The sequence below is a fragment of the Homo sapiens genome, chromosome 12 (assembly GCF_000001405.40).
Source record: "Homo sapiens chromosome 12, GRCh38.p14 Primary Assembly".
In the NCBI taxonomy this organism is placed as follows: domain Eukaryota; kingdom Metazoa; phylum Chordata; class Mammalia; order Primates; family Hominidae; genus Homo; species Homo sapiens.
The window spans coordinates 22,572,550-22,591,533 of NC_000012.12; the positions used below are offsets into that span (position 1 = coordinate 22,572,550).

General features: G+C 38.3%; 2 long non-coding RNA genes and 1 pseudogene across 2 annotated transcripts in view, besides 2 other annotated features; 2 read left to right on the forward strand and 1 right to left on the reverse strand.

Moving 5' to 3' along the window:
- Positions 1,418–2,556, forward strand: LRRC34P1 (leucine rich repeat containing 34 pseudogene 1; annotated as a pseudogene).
- Positions 5,728–18,848, forward strand: C2CD5-AS1 (C2CD5 antisense RNA 1). The gene is made up of 3 exons (XR_001749044.2): positions 5,728–5,883; positions 13,057–13,118; positions 18,526–18,848. It is a non-coding gene; the product is annotated as a C2CD5 antisense RNA 1 (long non-coding RNA).
- Positions 10,912–11,112: a silencer, noted in NCBI's record as "peak1597 fragment used in MPRA reporter construct". NCBI's record gives its function as "represses an SCP1 promoter by STARR-seq MPRAs in K562 erythroleukemia cells {active_cell/tissue: K562}" and the evidence as "EXISTENCE:reporter gene assay evidence [ECO:0000049][PMID:32103011]".
- Positions 11,352–11,552: a silencer, noted in NCBI's record as "peak1598 fragment used in MPRA reporter construct". NCBI's record gives its function as "represses an SCP1 promoter by STARR-seq MPRAs in K562 erythroleukemia cells {active_cell/tissue: K562}" and the evidence as "EXISTENCE:reporter gene assay evidence [ECO:0000049][PMID:32103011]".
- Positions 16,458–18,984, reverse strand: part of ETNK1-DT (ETNK1 divergent transcript) — a 36,040-nt gene continuing 33,513 nt past the window's right edge. The window contains exons 3-4 of the long non-coding RNA NR_135030.1: positions 18,258–18,375; positions 16,458–16,535 (exon numbers count right to left, since the gene is read on the reverse strand). This is a non-coding gene — a long non-coding RNA (ETNK1 divergent transcript). The remainder of the gene's footprint in view (positions 16,536–18,257; positions 18,376–18,984) is intronic.

The window sequence follows — 18,984 nt, forward strand, 5'->3', positions numbered from 1 at the left end:
TTTTAAAAGACTGTACCCAGAGACAAAAATTTAAAATATGAAGATGTATAAAGCCTATTTACATATCACTTTGTGAAGCACACCTTTGGATTAGATCAATGTTTCAATTAATTTTGCCCATTTTTATTGAAACTTCTTTTGTGCACTTATGAAAAGTGAAGCATTAAGGTGTTGGCTCCATTAGCAGAAGGAAAGGCTTTGCAAACAGTTAAATGGTGGCTGTTTTTTTTTCCAGTGTTATCAGATACTTAAAATAGAATATCAGTTAATTTCAGTAATAGAGTTTCTTCATCCAATTTTTAGAATCAAAACAAATCTTTTGGAAGGCCATTATTCTGCCTAAAGTGAAATATCTAACATTATTGTAAAGGCTTTTGTAAATTCCGTTTAAAAATCTTTCAGGGCTGGGTGTGGTGGCTCACGCCTATAATCCCAGTACTTTGGGAGGCCAAGGTGGGAGGATCACTTGAGCCCAGAAATTCAAGACCAACCTAGACAACACAGTGAGACCTCATCTCTACAAAAAATTAAAAAATTAGGAATGGTGGTGTGCACTTATAGTCCCAGCTACTTGGGAGGCTGAGCTGGGAGGATCACTTGAACTGGGGAGGTTGAGGCTACAGTGAGCCGTGGTCATGCTACTGCACTCCAGCCTGGGCTGCAGAGCAAGACCCTGTCTCAAACAAACAAACAAAAATAAAACAACAACAACAACAACAAAACTTTTAGCATTGAATGGTGGCACAGCTGCTGCAGCCTGTGGGGTGAGAGGAGTACGTGGAGCAGCTGGTAGGATGCTGCCTCTGCCCTGGCTGGTTCATCCCCTCTGGCCCCCATTCTGGCCACAGCTCTGGCATTGGCCCCAGTGGGCGTAACTAGAAGAAGGAAACACATTAAACATTGCTGTTAATAATTACTTATTGACAGTAAAAAGAGTAACAGGTGAAGATTTTTGGATTCATTCTAAAATTTTTTTTTTTTTTGAGACAGAGTCTCACTTTGTCACCCAGGCTAGAGTGCAGTGGCGTGATCTCGGCTCACTGCAAGCTCTGCCTCCCAGGTTCACACCATTCTCCTGCTTCAGCCTCCCAAGTAGCTGGGACTACAGGCACCTGCCACCACAACCGGCTAATTTTTTGTATTTTCAGTAGAGAAGGGGTTTCACCATGTTCACCAGGATGGTCTCGATCCCCTGACCTCATGTTCTGCCTGCCTCAGCCTCCCAAAGTGCTGGGATTACAGGCTTGAGCCACCGCACCTGGCCTCTTTCTAGAATTTTAAATAGTTAACTAGCCTGGGTGCAGTGGCTCATGCCCGTAATCTCAGAAATTTGGGAGGCCAAGGCAGGAGGATCACTTGAGCCCAGGGGTTCAAGGCTTCAATGAACTATGATAGTGCTACTGCACAATCTCAGTTCTTTTTTTTTTTTTTTTTTAAATAATCAGTTATATATTGAGTTTGGATGTTAGATATAACCTCATAAGTGATGTTGGCACATATTATAGTGTAAAACTACTTCAGAAATAACTTAATCTCATTTACTTAAACCTTATGTTTGATGATACTGGGCCTGAAGGAGGAGAATTTTTCTTTCTCTTTTTTTTTTTTAACAGAGATTTGCTCTGTTGCCCAGGCTGGACTGTAGCGGTATAATCTTGGATCACTGCAACCTCCACCTCCCGGGTTCAAGCAATTCTCCTTCCTTAGCCTCTCGAGTAGCTGGGATTACAGGCATGCACCACCATCCCTGGCTAATTTTTGTATTTTCAGTAGAGACAGGGTTTCACCATGCTGGCCAGGCTGGTATTGAACTCCTGACCTTAGGTGATCCACCTGCCTCGGCCTCACAAAGTGCTGGCATTACAGGCATGAGCCACTGCTCCCAGCCAAGGTGGAGAATTGATTGGCAAAGCACTAAATGAGAACACAACTCTGAAATACCTAAGAATGACTGGAAACAAGATTAAAAATAAGAGTGGAATATTTTTTGCTGCAATGCTGCAAATTAATTCATCCTTAGAGAAAGTAGGTCTGGGTTACTGTGATCTGGGAATGCAAAGTGTGATAGCATTTGCTACGATACTAACTCAAAACAAAGCAATTAAGGGAATAAACCTAAACTGACCTATGCAGTATGGCAAACAGAAAGAGTCCACAGCCCACGTAGGCCATATGTTGAAAGAAAATAACTGCCTTGTTCAACTACACATGTGTAAGCATAATATAAAAAACTGTAGTATACAACAATTATATGTTATTCAATGTATCTTAACAGTAGCCTATGCTACCTTGATGTCAGCTGCAATCAAATATCTCAGGATGGAATTATGTATCTAGCTCATGTAAAAGCAATATTACCCTAGAAGCAGTAGATTTTTCTTTTAACAGAATAGAAAATGCAGGAGCTAAGTATCTCCAAGAAATTCTTACTTTACACAATGGGCATTTTAAAGCATTGTCAGTAGTCAGCAACAACATAGAGAAGGACTTGCACTTTCACAATCAATGAAAACGAATCCCACATTTTCTAATATCTACATTTGGAGAAACAAATTTAGCCTGGGCAACATAGCAAGACCCCATCTCTACAAAAAGATTGCAAAAATTAGCTGGCCATGGTAGTGTGTGCCTGTAGTCCTACTTGGGTGGCTGAGGTGGTAGGATCACCTGAGCCCAGGGAGGTCAAGGCTGGAAGTGAGCTGCGATGGTGCCACTGCACTCCAGACTGAGCAACGTGAGACCCTGTCTCAAAAACAAAACAAAACAAAAACAAATTTGATGAGGCTACAGGTGTATCATGTTCAGACATAATTCAAATAGGCCATCTAAAAACAGACAATAGGCCAGGTGAACTGGTTCATGCCTGTAATCCCAGCACTTTGGGAGGCCGAGACAGGCAGATCACTTGAGGCCAGGAGTTCGAGACCAGCCTGGCCAATATGGGGAAACTCTGTCTCTACTGAAAATACAAAAATTAGCTGGTCATGGTGGCACACACCTGTAGTCCCACCTACTCGGGAGGCTGAGGCACAAGAATTGCTTGAACCCAGGAGGCGGAGGTTGAAGTGAGCTGAGATCACACCACTATACTCCACCTGGGCGACAGAGTGAGACTCTGTCTCACAAATAAATAAATAAATAAACAAAAGCAGATAACCCAGATGTGGAGTTATTTGTGGTGGATGGATGCTCACAGAAGTCTCCAATGACCTTAAAAAACATTATTATTGAACTCCAACTTATGGAGAAGTTTAGAGTCTCTCATCTAATGCAGATTTTGCTCCTGTTCCAGTAAGTCAACACCTAGGAAAAAGAAGATATAAAATCATTTTTTTTTTTTTGAGATGGAGTCTCGCTCTGTTGCCCAGGCTGGAGTACAGTGGCACAATCTTGACTCACTGAAACCTCTGCCTCCAGGGTTCAAGCGATTCTCCTCCCTTGGTCTCTTGAGTAGCTGGGATTACAGGCACGTGCCACCACACTCAGCTAAATAAAATCATTTTTATACATTTGTCTTATTGCTTTCACAGAGATTTTTATAGCTTATTAAATTTTTCTTTCATAAATTAAAACAAGTTACTTTTATCAAATGTATAAAAGGTAATCACTATATTAAAGTTTGTATAACTGTCCATTGTGGGAAAAAGAAAGCTTTCAGCACTGAAACATAATTTTTGCAAAAATTATTCATCCAAACACAGACGCTGGTGAGTCACAGAATCATGGTAAAGACAATGATCCTAATGAATTAAGAAATCTGTGGAGCAAAGTGTACTTAGAATTGGTTTTGGTGCACAGAGTTATGAATTTTGTGCAGACACATACTTCATAAAAAGAGCTAAAGATGCAAATAAGCACATGAAAAGATATTCAATATCATTAATCACTAGAGAAGTACAAATGAAAACCACAGTGAGATAACACTATACAATCTGTACTAGTCTGCTTGGCTATCACAACAGAATATCACAGAATGGACTGCAACAGGAATTTATTTTCTCACATTTCTGGAGGCTGGAAGTCCAAAATTAAGAACCAGTATGTTGGTTTCTAGGGAGGCCTCTTTTCCTGGCTTACAGGTGGTGCCTTCTTGCTGTGGCCTCACGTGGCCTTTCCTCTGTGCACGTGAATTCCTGGTGTTTCTTCCTCTTATAAAGATGCCAGTTCTGTTGGATTACAGCCCCACCCATGTGATGTCATTTAACCTAAATTACCTCCTGAAAGGCCCTATCTCTAAATACAGTCACATTGAGGGTTAAGATTTCAGCATATGTATTTTGAGGAGGACACAATTGAGTTCATAACAACACCTAAAATTAAAAAAAACAAAACAAAAAAATGAAAATATAAAATGCTGGCTAAAATACAGAGCAACTAGAACTCCCATACATTGCTAATGGAGATCCAAATAATACAACCATTTTGGAAAACAGTTTGGCAGTTTCTTATAAAGCTAAATATACCATTAACCCAGCAATCCCAGTCCTATGTGATTACCCAAAATAAATGAAAACTTATATTCATACAAAGATTTCTGCATGAATATTTATAGCACCTTTATTTATAGTAGGCCCAAATTGGAAATAACCAAAATGTTCTTTGGCTTGTGAATGAAAAAAAAAAAAAATATATATATATATATATATGCTACATCCACACAATGGCATACTGCTTAATAAAAAGAAACAAATTTGTTTGTCCATTCACCTATTGATAGACATTTGGGTTGGATTCAGTTTGGGGCTATTATAAATAAAGTTGCTATAAATACTCAGATTTAAATTCTTACGTGGATATGTGTTTCCATTTCCTTTGGATAAACCTAGGAGTGGAATTGCTGGGTTGAACTATATGTTTAACTTTATAAGAAATTGTTAAACTATTTTCCAAAATTCCCATACCATTTGCATTCTCATCAGCAATCCATGAGTCCTAGTAGATTCACGTTCTCCCCAACATTTGATGTTATCAGTCTTTTTAATATTAGCCACTCTAATGGATGGGCAGTGGTATCTTATTGTGATTTAAATTTGCATTTCCATGATGACTTAAGATAATGGACTTTTTTTGTTTTCTTTTTTTGCTATTCATATATTTTCTTTTGTAAAGTGTCCTTTCAGATCTTTTGCTCAGGTTTTTTTTTTTCTTAAAGCTGGAGTCTTACTATATTGCCCAGGCTGGAGTGCAGTAGTTATTCACAGGTGTGAGGATAGTGCACTACAGCCTCAGACTCCTAGCCTTAAGCAATCCCCCAACCTCAGCCTGCTGAGCAGCTGGGACTACAGGCATGTGCTGCCATGCCTGGCTTTTTGCTCAGTTTTAAGAACTGGTTTCTTTGTCTTTGTGAATTGTAAGAGTTTTGTATATAAGCTCTTTATCAGTATATACATGTACGACAAATATTTTCTCTGTGACTCACCTTTCATTTTCATGGTTGTATTTTTCAGAGCAAGAGTTCTCATTTTGATAAAGTCCTATGTATTCATTTATTTCTTTTATAGCACATGCTTTTTATGTTCTATCTAAGAAATCTTTACCTATGTCAAGGTCACAAATTTTTATAACTTTTAACATTTACATTTAGTTCTGTGACCCATTTCAAGTTAAGTTTTGTGAAATGAAGATTAAGGATTAAGCTTCATTTTTTTTCCCTCTTGTCTTAATCTGTTTTGTGTTCCTGTGAAGAAATACCTGAGACTGGGAAATTTATAAAGAAAAGAGGTTTATTTTGCTTATGGTTCTACAGGCTGTACAAGAAACATGGCACCAACATCTGCATCTGGTGTGGACCTCAGGCTACTTCCATTCATGGCGGAAGGTGAAAGGGAGCTGGTGTTGCGGAGATCACATAGAAAGAGAGGAGGAAAGAGAGAGAGGGATAAGGTACCAGGCTCTCTTTAAGAACCAGCTTTCTTAGGAATTAATAGAGTGAGAACTCACTTACCCCCAAGGAAGAGCACTAATCTATTCATGAGGGATCTGCCCCATGACTCAAGTACTTCCCATTAGGCCACCTCCAACCTTGGGGATCAAATTTCAACATGAGATTTGCTGGGGACAAACAACCCATATCCAAACTATAGAACTTCTGAATAACCAGTTCTTCCAGTATCATTTGTTGAAAAAGATTATTCCTTTCACATTGAAATACCTTGGTATCTTTGTCGAAAATCAATTGGCCATGTATGTGTATAGTTCTATTTCTGCCTTTTATTCTGCTTACATCTATATTCCATATATAAAAATATATAAGTTATATAAATATATGGAATATATATAGAATATATGTATATATATGCATACCATATATGGAGTATATATAGAATATATATGTGTATATTCTATATATATGTGTATATATGCACATGTCATATATCATATATATTCTATATATACTCCATATACATACATATTTATTCTATGCATATTCCATATATTCATATAATGAATGCCAAGATTTACTATAAAGCTACAAAAATTAAGAAAGTGTGCATGCCAATACATACTTTCTTAATTTTTGTATCTTTATAGTAAGTCTTGAAATCAGTAAGTCCTACAAATTTGTTCTTCTAGACCATAATATTTTTAATACAGAAAATATTCTTTCTACAGATTCTGAGGTACTTGGGAAATTCAGAGAAAATTCTGCTAAATGGAAGATATTATAAATTTTATTTTTTATTGATATGTAAAATACTTTGGGCTCAAATATTTTCAGAAGTAAAGATTTTTAACCTCCATTCATATTATCTTTTGTGTGTGTGTGTATGTGTGTGTAGAGATGGGGTCTCACTATGTTGCCCAGGCTGGTGTCAGATTTCTGGCCTCAAGCAATCCTCTTGCCTTGGCCTTCCAAAGTGCTGGGGATTACAGGCGTGAGCCACCGTGCCTGGTCCATAGTATCTTTTTTTAAAAAAGATTTTTTTTCAAGATAAACCATCTTAAGTTGTCTCTAGGGTTTGTAAGAATATTTATCAAATGTAGCTGCAGCAAAATTATTGGATTTATCAATTTCACTCTTTCCGTTATAAAATATATTCAAAGAATGAATCTATTATGATGGAATTCAATTTTTGTTAATTTTACATTCTCGTTAAATGTTCTATTTTTTCTTTGCTTTCATAGAGGTAATTTTAATGTCTTCCTGTTTGAAAGCTTAGTTTTAATAATCAGAATTTGCTAAAACTTAAAAAGCTGAAGTCTTTTGATGCTCCAATGTTTTAATTAAATTTTGCAACTGATTTTGAACAAAATTAAACCCAAATAGAGAGTACTAGTTTGCAAAATTTCAATACCATTGTAAAACACTTAGATTGGTTCACAAAATAATTATTAAAAGGCTCATTTTAAAAATCTTATTGATATTTGAGAACAAAGAGAAAGTACATACTGTAATGCTAAAGTTTTTGGTTGCTGTATTCAATATCAGCTTTATTTTTTTTGATCTTGCTCCGTCACCCAGGCTGTAGTGCACTGGTGCGATCTCAGCTCACTGTAACCTCTGCCTCCCAGGTTCAAGCAATTCTCGTGCCTCAGCCTCCCAAGTAGCTAGGACTACAGGCATGTGTCACCATGCCTGGCTAATTTTTGTATTTTTAGTAGAGATGGGATTTCACCGTGTTGCCTAGTCTGGTCTCGAACTCCTGGCCTCAGGTGATCCTCCAGCCTCGGCTGGGATTATAGGCATGACTCACTGCACCTGGCCCAATATCAACTTTATAACAATAGTTTTTTTTTTTTTTGAGATTAAGTCTGACTCTATCGCCCAGGCTGGAGTGCAATGGCGCGATCTCGATGCACTGCAACCTCCACCTCCCTGGTTCAAGTGATTCTCCTGCCTCTGCCTCCCGATAACAAAAGTTGTGTAGTCAGTTTTTCTGAATGGATAGATAGAGAGAGAGATGGATAGATAGATAGGTGGACAGATAAATACAGATATTTATCTTTTATAACTACAATAAAAAAATAGAAATAGAGACAGTGTCTCACTATGTTGCTCACATTGGTTTCAAACTTCTAAGCTGAAGTGATCCTCCTGCCTTGGCCTCCCAAAGTGCTAGGATTACAGGCATGAGCCACCACACCCAGACATAACCACAATTTTTTGATAACTACATATTTCTATTGGCAGAATATAGCAACTTGTTTGTACACAATTATCAATTATGTATGTATTGCAACCAATTCCAAGTGCGTTTATGCCTCATAAGTTTCTTAATTTGGTAGCCACCGTTTTTTCCTTAGTGGTATGCTTCTTTTAGATAGACACACACACATACATATGCATATATTATTAAAGTCAAGTTTATTAATGTAAAATTTACACCCAGTAAAAATCATCCCTTTTAGGTACACAGTTATATGAGATATTATAAATGTATGTAGTTATGTAATGCCCATCACTTTGAAGATTTGGAATATTTTCACCACTGCTAAAGTACTTGAATCAGAATATGTGTAGCTATTTTATTCATAATAGCTAGAAACTGGATCCAACCCACATGTCCATTAGTAGGTAAATGGATAAACAAACTGTAGTGTGACATAGTCTTTCAAAGTAACACTATTCAGAAATAAAAGGGAATTATGGATGCACGTCTCAATATGGATGAATCACAAAAAAATTTTGCTGAACAAAAGACCAGACACAAAAGAGTACATATTATATGATTATACATTGTCTAGAAAAGGTGCAGTTGATGAAGTCAACAACTCTAAATTAAATAATTAAATGCAGCCCTCAAAAAGAGAAATGTTATGAAAAATATGTTAAAACACCATGTTAGTAAAAAACATATTCTTCACAAAAGCACCAGTCACACTATATAAGAGACAGAGGGCTGAGCACAGTGGCTCATGCCTGTAATCTCAGCACTTTGGGAGACCGAGGTAGGTAATCACTTGAGGTCAGGAGTTCCCGACCAGCCTGGCCAACATAGTGAAACTCCATCTCTACTAAAAATATAAAAATTAGCTGAATATGGTGGCACATGCCTGTAGTCTCAGCTACGATCTTGTATTCAATAATAAAGGCAAGTTAATTGCATAAGTGCAAAAGGGCTATACCAGGCCGGGCACAATGGCTCACACCTGTAATCTCAGACTTGGGAGGCCGAGGCGAGAGGATAACCTGAGGTCAGGAGTTCGAGACCAGCCTAACCAACAAGGCAAAACCCCATCTCTACTAAAAAACACAAAAATTAGCCAGGCGTGGTGGCAGGTGCCTATAATCCCAGCTACTCAGGAGGCCGCGGCTGTGAGGCTAGAGAGTTGCTTGAACCCGGGAGGCAAAGGTTGCAATGAACCGAGTACATGCCACTGCACTCCAGCCAGGGTGACTGAGCAAGACTCCATCAAAAAAAAGGGGGAGGCTATACCGTTGACTCTTGAAAAGTGTGAGTTGGTGCATTGACCCCACTTGCAGTTGAAAATCCATGTATAACTCCCCTGAAACTGAACTACTAGTAGCCTACTGTTGGCCAGAAGCCTTATTGATAACATAAACAGTTAATTAACACATTTTTTGCATGTTATATGTATTATACAATGTATTCTTACAATAAAGTAAGATAGAGAAAAAAATGAAGAAAATCATAAGAAAGAGAAAATATGTTTACTATGTATAATATTAAGTAGAAGTTGATCATCATTAAAGTCTTCAACTTGGTTGTGTTCACATTGAGTAAGGAGTAGGTGGAAGAGGAGGGGTTGGTCTTGCTGTCTTAGAGGTGGCAGAAGTGGAAGAAAATCCATATATAATTGGACCTGGGAAGTTTAAGCCTATGTTGCTCAATCGTATAATGTAAAAACACATAATTTGTAGCAATAGACACTTTCATTCCTAAGATTTTTTAGATCTGTCATAATTTGCTGATAGGAATGAAATTTTCTAATTTTAAATATTTTTCTAATCTTTCTTACATTCCACTTCCACATAATTGTGACTACAGAGTTATATCTTACTGTTCCATTGCATTTGTCCAGAATAAAATTTCAAATTAATTTCCCCCATAGCTACATGTGAAACGGAGGTAAATTAATAGCACTGAATCAACACACAAATAGTAGCACTTAAGATGAAGGAGGCAAAGATAAATTCTACTGTGTCACCTGGTATGGATTAAGGAATAAGATTTATCTGAGAAATAAAAAATGAAGGGTCAGGCTGGGCATGGTGGCTCATGCCTGTAATCCCAGCATTTTGGGAGGCCAAGGCAGCCAGATCACTTGAGGTCAGGAGTTCGAGACCAGCCTGGCCAACATGGTGAAACCGCATCTCTACTAAAAATACAAAAAAATTAGCCGGGCGTGGTGGTGCACACCTGTAGTGCCAGTTACTTGGGAGGCTGAGGCAGGAGAATGACTTGAGCCTAGGAGGCAGAGGTTGCAGTGAGCCAAGATCACACCACTGTACCCCAGGCTGGACAACAGATCAAGACTGTCAAAAAAAAAAGAAGGATCAGCAAAAAGAGACATATATAAACTTTAGGCCCCAGAAAATCCTAGATCCACTCCTTCCTGAAGATCTTGGGGCCCATGGGAAATTGTAACCTTCCTGCTAGGGAATAAGAAACCACCAGCTTGTGGATAGCTAAGTTCATTGCATCCCTATCCACTGGGAGAGGGAGCTGTTAATTGTCTGAGAAGCCTACAGTGAGTTCTCTGGGTCACTTTTGGACAATTCTTGAAGTGCAATACTGAAAAATGAAAAAAAAAAACAAACCCTCTCTCTTTAGCAGTGTATTACTTAAAATGCTTAAACACTCAAATTAAATTTTAGAATTGTAAATTTTAGCTATTAAATTAAATAGAAAAACAAGGCCAAAGAACACACACACACACATACACACACACACACACACACACACACACACACACACACGATAGTATTGTATTCCTTTTCAATGAAAGCTGTTGTCAAAGGCATTTGAACCAGAGTGACTCCATCTTGAATAAGGGCTGGGTAACATGAGGCTGAGACCTACTGGGCAGCATTCCCAGGTTAGGCATTCTTAGTCAATAGGATATGTACAGTTAAGGAAACAAGTTAATAATGTTTACCGAACAGACTCAGGACTTAACAGACACAGAAAATAACAAACTTGGGAAATGTCCTGAGTCCCATATCTTAAGAACAAAAGCATTCTTAGTTTAATATATTACTGCAGAAGACAGTAGTTACACAAAGATTAACAATCCGTTGTTACACGCCCTTGTAGGACAGCACATCTCCCCATTGGTGTGTTCCCCATTTTTTTCTTTTTATATTATATATAAACAAGCCTCTACCTAAGGTGGATGTGTTCCTCCTCTTGCTTTGTCTGCTCTTGAATGCCCTGCTCTGTCTATGTAGTAACCATTCTTACTATTCCTTTACTTCTTAATAAACTCACTTTCACTTTACTCTGGACTCGCCCTGAATTCTCTCTTGTGTGAGATCCAAGAACACTCTCTTAGGGTCTGGATCGAGATCCCTTTTCGGTAACACTGCACTGTTACTTAACACTGATGAGCTTGATTCGTTTTTGTCAAGGACAATATTTTGATGTTCTTGAGAATGACTTAGGGAAATATTACTTGAGGTTATTAAATTCATATTTGATTTATTAATGTTACAAATTCAAAAACCTATTCCTTCTTAAGCTTTTAAGTTATGAATCAAATTATTAATTTATAAATCTGACAAATTTTAACAGTTACTTTTATGAGGACTTTGATTTACATTTGGTTTCATTTACAATTTTAGTTAAATGTTTAAATTGTCCATTTGACAAAATTTCCCAAGAATGTATATGACTTATAAATCTGGCAAATTAAATATGTATACATATTAATATTGAATCTCAACTTATTTTAGGGGTTAAAATACCGTTTATAAAATTAATAACATTGCCTTATACCTTTCAACTTGAAATTGCAAGTCTGAATAAATGAGACATTTTATATTGGAATCATAAAAGTAATCTGTAAGATATTAAATATACCAAACTTCTTAAAACATAAAATGGTAAAATATATCAACAACAAACAACTTATTCTCAAACCTACTGCAAAAATATTAATACTATGATTTTTGTCTGCTTCATCATCTTACTATTTCTTTTTTTTTTTTTTTGAGATGGAGTCTCACTCTGTCGCCAGGCTGGAGTGCAGTGGCACGATCTCAGCTCACTGCAACCTCTGCCTCCCAGGTTCAAACAATTCTCCTGCCTAAGGCTCCCAAGTGGCTGGGACTATAGGCGAGCACCACCACGCGAAGCTAATTTTTGTATTTTTAGTAGAGACGAGTTTTCATCATGTTGGCCAGGATGGTCTAGATCTCTTGACCTCATGATCCGCTCACCTTGGCCTCCCAAAGTGCTGGGATTACAGGCTTGAGCCACTGCCCTCGACCTTTACTATGTAATTCTTAATAGAATTATGCTATATTTTGTCATGGAAGGACTATAATTTCTGTGTATATTAAAATGATATTCTAGTGAATATATTTGTTAGAATTTGGTCTATGACTTACGTTTATTATAAGATACCACTTAACAATACACTGATATCAAGGCTTTTGGAAATTTGGGGAGGGAGGTGGACCCCAACTACATTTAATTACTAGAAGCTACCAATATTTACAAAAATATTATGAAAATTGTTAACTGGTAAAATTAAGTTTTCTTGCAACGCTAACGTCTCTTAGCTCCTATCACAGTGTCTGGCACATCATAGATTTTCAATAAATAGCTGTTGGATAAATCATGCTTAAATCAGTTTCTACAGATTACAAGCTTGATAATTTTTCTGCTACTGCATACTCTGGGTTCCCCTTTTCTAGTTTCCAATAATTGCCTCATTGCCTCTCCAGCCTCCTCTAATGCTGTTTTTGCTATTTCTCCAGTCTTTATTTACACAATCCTCACAGCTTTTCCAGCCTCCTCCAACAGTCTCCTTGCATCCTTCCATTCTCTGTCCACCAGCTAGTCCAAAAGCCATTGCTGTGTATTTTTAAGTTTTTGTTATGACTGAACTCCACACCCAGTAGCAATTTCTGTCTGTTTTCTGTTGCAGAAGATCAAACTCTCCCAAAAAGTAGAGATTAAACAACAACTAAAGATGGCGAATCATAGAAGGTAATCAAATCACACAATGGCTATTATTCATCGTTCTTTTGATTCCAATGTATTTCATTTTATGCATTAAAAGTTATTCTGGGAGTCCGTACACTTAACTAGAGGGCCAACGGAGTCCACAGCACAAAAATGACTAAGGATTATTATTTTTTTTTTGAGACGGAGTTTCGTTCTTGTTGCCCAGGCTGGAGTGCAATGGCGCGATCTCGGCTCACTGCAACCTCCGCCTCCCAGGTTCAAGCAATTCTCCTGCCTCAGCCTCCCGAGTAGCTGGGATTACAGGCATGCACCACCACGCCTGGCTAATTTTGTATTTTTAGTAGAGACCATGTTGAGGCTGGTCACGAACTCCTGACCTCAGGTGATCCGCCTGCTTTGGCCTCCCAAAGTGCTGGGATTACAGGCGTGAGCCACTGTGCCCGGCCAAAAATGACTAAGAATTCTTGACCTAGGCAATGATGAAGAGACAGGATGGAAAAAATCAGGGCCAATTAATGACCATGTAGAGCAGAACCAGCCAGAAAACTTGGTCCAATAACCTCAGGATTACATATGAGAAAACTAAATACTTACATTTTAAGTCATTATTTGGTGGAGTATCTTTTCTACAACAGTTTACCTTAAGAAATATACAGGAAGCCTTGTAAACATAGCAATACCCTGTCTCTACCAAAAATTTGAAAATTAGCTGGGCGTGGTAGCATGCACCTGTAGTCCTAGGTAATCAGGAGGCTGAGGCAGGAGGATTGCTTGAGCCCAGAGGTTTGAGGCTGCAGTGAGCTATGATCCCACCACTGCACTCCAGCCTGGGTGACAGAGGGAGATCCTGTCTCTAAAAAAGCCTCCTGGGCTCAACTGATCTACCCACCTTAGTCTCATGAGTAGCTGGGACTACAGGTGTGAACCACCACACCTGGCTGATTTTTATTTTTTTCATAGAGGCAGGGTTTCACCATGTTGCCCAGGCTGGTCTCGAACTCCTGGCCTCAAGTGATTCACCCACCTCAGCCTCCCAAAGTGCTGGGATTACAGGCATGAGCCACTGTACCTGGCGTAAGAAAAGTTCTTTAATTAAAAGAAAAAAAGAAGTTTGCTCTCCATTCTTAGATCATCTCAGTGTGCTTATTAAGCATCCACATACCTAAAGATACCTACAGTATTGGCAGAAGTTCAGGACCTCTTTATCTGGATGTTCATTTGTACCCTTTAAAACAAAGGAAAAAAAGAGAAGAAATTGTATGATGAGATCTACTATTTGAACAGATAATAAATAGGATATTCTAGAATTAAAAAATGTCATAAATCTTGAAAATCATAGTGTACACTGAAGTTTAAAATAAAGTAATCTACACTTAGACCCGTCATAGTGAAAGGAAAAATAGATTATCTTAAAAGTAAAAAGGCCAGGCCAAGTGGCTTACACCTGTAATCTCAGCACTTTGGGAGGCCAAGGTGGGTGGATCACCTGAGGTCGGGAGTTCGAGACCAGCCTGACCAAAATAGTGAAACCCTGTCTCTACTGAAAATACAAAAAATTAGCTGGGCATGGTGGCGGGTGCCTGTAATCCCAGCTACTTGGGAGGAGGCTGAGGCAGGAAAATCCCTTGATCCTGGGAGGCGGAAGTTTGCGTGAGTCGAGGTTGCGCCATTTCACTCCAGCCTGGGCAACAAGAGCGAAACTCTAACTCAAAAAAAAAAAAAAAAAAAAAAAAAAAGTAAAAAAGGTATTCAATGTAGCTGAAAAAATTTTCTGTAAATATTGATATAGAATAATCTGTAAGATAATCTTTTCCTTAAACTTCTACAATTGTTTATTTCTCCTGCCATTTAATCACATAGATATCAAAATTGCAAATGTATCATTTCTCTCTCGCTCTCTCTCTCTCGCCCGAGTGCGTGCGTGTTTTTAACTATAGAGATAGGGTTCCCAGGCTGGCCTCAAACCCCTGGCCTCAAGCAATTCTTCTGCCTCGGTCACCCAACGTGTTGGGACTATAGGTGTGAGCCTCAATGCCTGGCCTCATTTTAGATTTAATAGTAAACCTATGTCCTGTGTATTTCTTCTTTTTTTTTTTGCCGGGGTTGTGGGGGCGCAGGAAGACAGTCTCTGTCACCCAGGCTGGAGTGCAGTGGTGTGATCATGGTTCACTGCAGCCTCTTGTTTCTGGGCTCAAGCAATCCTCCTGCCTTAGCCTCCTGAGTGGCTAAGCCTGCAGGCACACACCATCACACACAGCTAATTTTGAAATTTGTTGTAGAGATAGGATCTCACTATGTTGACCAGGCTTTCCATATATTTCTTAAGGTAAACTAATGTAGAAAAGATGTATATTTTTTTCAATCACACATATTAATAGAACATTTACAAAAAAAAAAAAAATAAGAGAGCAAAGCCAAAGAAAATAGGAAGAAAAATAATAAGGATAGAAAATAATGAAAGATCATCAAAGGAGACAATAAAAAATTAAGAAACTGATTTAATTTTTAATGAAATTTTAATCGTTAATAAAAAAGCAGTTTGTAGATTACTATTTTTAAAATAACAATTGTGTAACATTTGTAAATATGCAAAATAGTACTACATAGTGTTAGTATATACATATATGGTTAAAAAAACAAACATGAATGGGAAATTAAACATATCAGCTTTAGGCTGGAGAAAGAGGAAGGAAAACGATTTGGGAAGGCTCAAATTCTTTTTTTTTTTTTTTTTTTTTTTTTTTCAGAGAAGGGGTCTCACTCTGTCACCCAGACTGGAGTGCAGTGGCAATATCTCATTTCCCTGCAGCCTCTTCCTCCTGGGTTCAAGCCATTCTTGTTCCTCAGCCTCCTGAGTAGCTGGGACTACATGTGTGCACCACCATGCCTGACTAATTTTTATATTTTCAGTAGAGATGGGGTTTCACCATGTTGGCCAGGCTGGTCTCGAACTCCTGACTTCCAGTGATCTGCCTGTCTCAGCCTCCCAGAATGTTGGGATTACAAGCATAAGCCACCATGCCCGCCGGAAGGCTCAAGTTCCATAATGTTTCATTTCTTAGGAAAAATGGCTGAATGATAATATTGGTTAAAACTGACTTATGTGTACATGGTTAGTTTTTATATTATTCTTGATACTCCTCTACATGTTCTCATTATTTCATTTTTTAAAAGTTTAAGACGTTTGTCTCATGTGACTAAAGCAAAATGTTTGATTTAGAGAGGGTAATAGTGGCTCCTACAGAGACCATAAAGCCACAGTTAATTATACACTAGTTCTAATATTGACATTTGTTTTCAGTTACCTCTTTAGCTTCATTCATTACCATACCAAAAGGGTGTGTCTTCAGAGTTTGTATCCTTGGGAACCGCATGGTTGCTAGGTCGACCAATAACAGCTCTAAGATTCGCATGCTGTTGTCCATGACTGTTACTAAGCTAAACAGAGCCAAAAGAGGTAGGAGAAGAACTCATATGTTCTCAGAAAATTATTAGCATTTCAGTCTAATGTTCAGCTTACATGTGGAACACCACATTAACCCCTTGGAAGAGTTCAGAAAGATCCAGAATGTTGTCACTGCTTTCAAATAAATTCCAACTCAAATTTTAGTTTATATACTTAAAATATAGCCATAGGGGAGTATATGAAAATGAGTGGTAAATATAACAAGAATTCAGAAGCAGAAAAACATCTCTGTGGAGTGAGATGGCTGGTGAGATTTCAAGAGGAAAATAGAACTTGAGGTGGGAAATCAAGGGTGAGAACCATTCAGATAAGAAGGTGGCCAGGCACGGTGGCTCATGCCTATTATCCCAGCACTTTGGGAGGCCAAGGCGGGCAGATCACCAGGTCAAGAGATCAACGTGGTGAAACCCCGCCTGTACTAAAAATACAAAAGTTAGTTGGGAGTGGTGGTGCGCACCTGTAGTCCCAGCTACTCGAGTGGCTGAAACAGGAGAATCCTTTGAACCTGGGAGGCAGAGGTTGCAGTGAGCCAAGATCGCCTCACTGCACTCCAGCCTGGTGACAGAGTGAGACTCCGTCTCAAAAAAAAAAAAAAAAAAGGTAAGGGTAAACAAAGTCAGGATTTAGGATGAGGAAGTCTGGCCATGGAGCTGACAGTATGACAGTATGGGATTTGAATGCCTGTTGCTTTATTCACTTCTACTAACTCCAAATTATTATTTTTTTAAGTGCAAACAACACTATTTTACACATAGGTAATTTTCCTAAGAAGTAGAAGTATGGCATACAGAGAATAATTTAGAGCTAAATTTCCATGAAATGGAAGGTTAGGGAGGGGAAAATCCAATGTGAGGTGACAATTGTGTTTTGTTCTTGGGAAGGATAAAATTTTTTTTCTTTTGTAGAGACAAGGTCTCCTATGTTGTACAGGCTGGTCTTGAACTCCTGGGCTCAAGCAATCTACCCTCCTCAGCCTCCTGAAGTGCTAGGATTACAGGCATGAACCCCCATGCTCGGCCTCAACTAACTCTTTATGTGGAAAAAAGTACAAATATATTTATTATTTAACTCTTTACGTGGAAAAAAGTATATTTATTATTCTACTTGCTTCTATATTATTTTATTATTTGAGTGCCAAGGGTTGGGGTTACCTGTTCAGATAACACCTTTCTCTATATTAATCTCAGGAGACATGCTGCCTGTCCCTACCACTGGCTCTTGGATGAATAAAGCCTACATTCTCTAGCTCAGTAGTATTCTCTAATTTCACATCTCAGAGAAAGAGGGAGTAGTGTATCCCAGAGAAAATATTTAGGATTTTTTTCCCTTCCCAGAAGGCCCTGGGTTCCTCATGCAAATTGATCTACCTTTGTGCCAGTAGTCAGCCTCACATTCCCAGAATCACAGTGAGTGACTGACTCAATGGAGTCATAGAAGATATTTGCTATACCCTCATTACAGGGCAAAGAACCCTGCTTGTCTTACATTTGCATAAAGAATTGGGCCACTCTAGTGACTCTTCAAGAAATAAATAATAGGCCGGGCGCAGTGGCTCATGCCTGTAATCCCAACACTTTGGAAGGCCAAGGTGGGAGGATTGCTGGAGCTTGGGAGTTTGAGACCATCCTGGGCAACATAATGAGACCCTGTCTCTACAAAAAAATTAAAAAATTAGTCGGCGTGGTGGTGCGAACCTGTGGTCTCAGCTACTCAGGAGGCTGAGGTGGGATGATCACTTGAACCCAGGAAGTTGTGGCTGCAGTGGGCCATGATTGCACCACTGCAGTCCAGCTTGGGCGATAGATTGAGACACTGCCAAAAAAAAAAAAAAAAAAAAAAGGAAAAATAATAATAAGCTTCTTTTAATCAATATTTTAAAATGTCTTACCCTGCTATTCATATATGTCCATGATACTGCCTTGGCAATCAAAACATGTTAGTTCTTTTCCCTTCTCTCTTTAGTTACCACCATTCCTGGTATTGGTCCCAGTTCTTCTAAGAATATTTTTGATGCAAGAGCTGTTTTATCTTGAATCCTACATAGCTTATTTTCCATTTTTCCATTCAAATAAAACAACAAGAGAACAATAGAGTGAAGAAAAAGGATGTTTAAGCCTAAATCCAAGACTGAGGTACAAGACCAAGAAAAGTGGGGCAGAAGATGGAAAAGAACAAGTGAAGAATCTTGGAAACAATTCAAAGGCACGTTGGATTCTTTGCTTGTAATAAGAAGTGCAAGTTGGTGTTACTTCTTAAGATCTAATGTTAAAATTTCTTGAATCTGATCTTTATCGTATGCATATTTTTTCATCCTTGGATAGTTAGACTTTTTTTATATGTCAAGAACTCATCTATATTTTTTCATCTATATTTATTCTACATAAATCGATAAATCAAGATGTAATATAAAAATAATGTTGT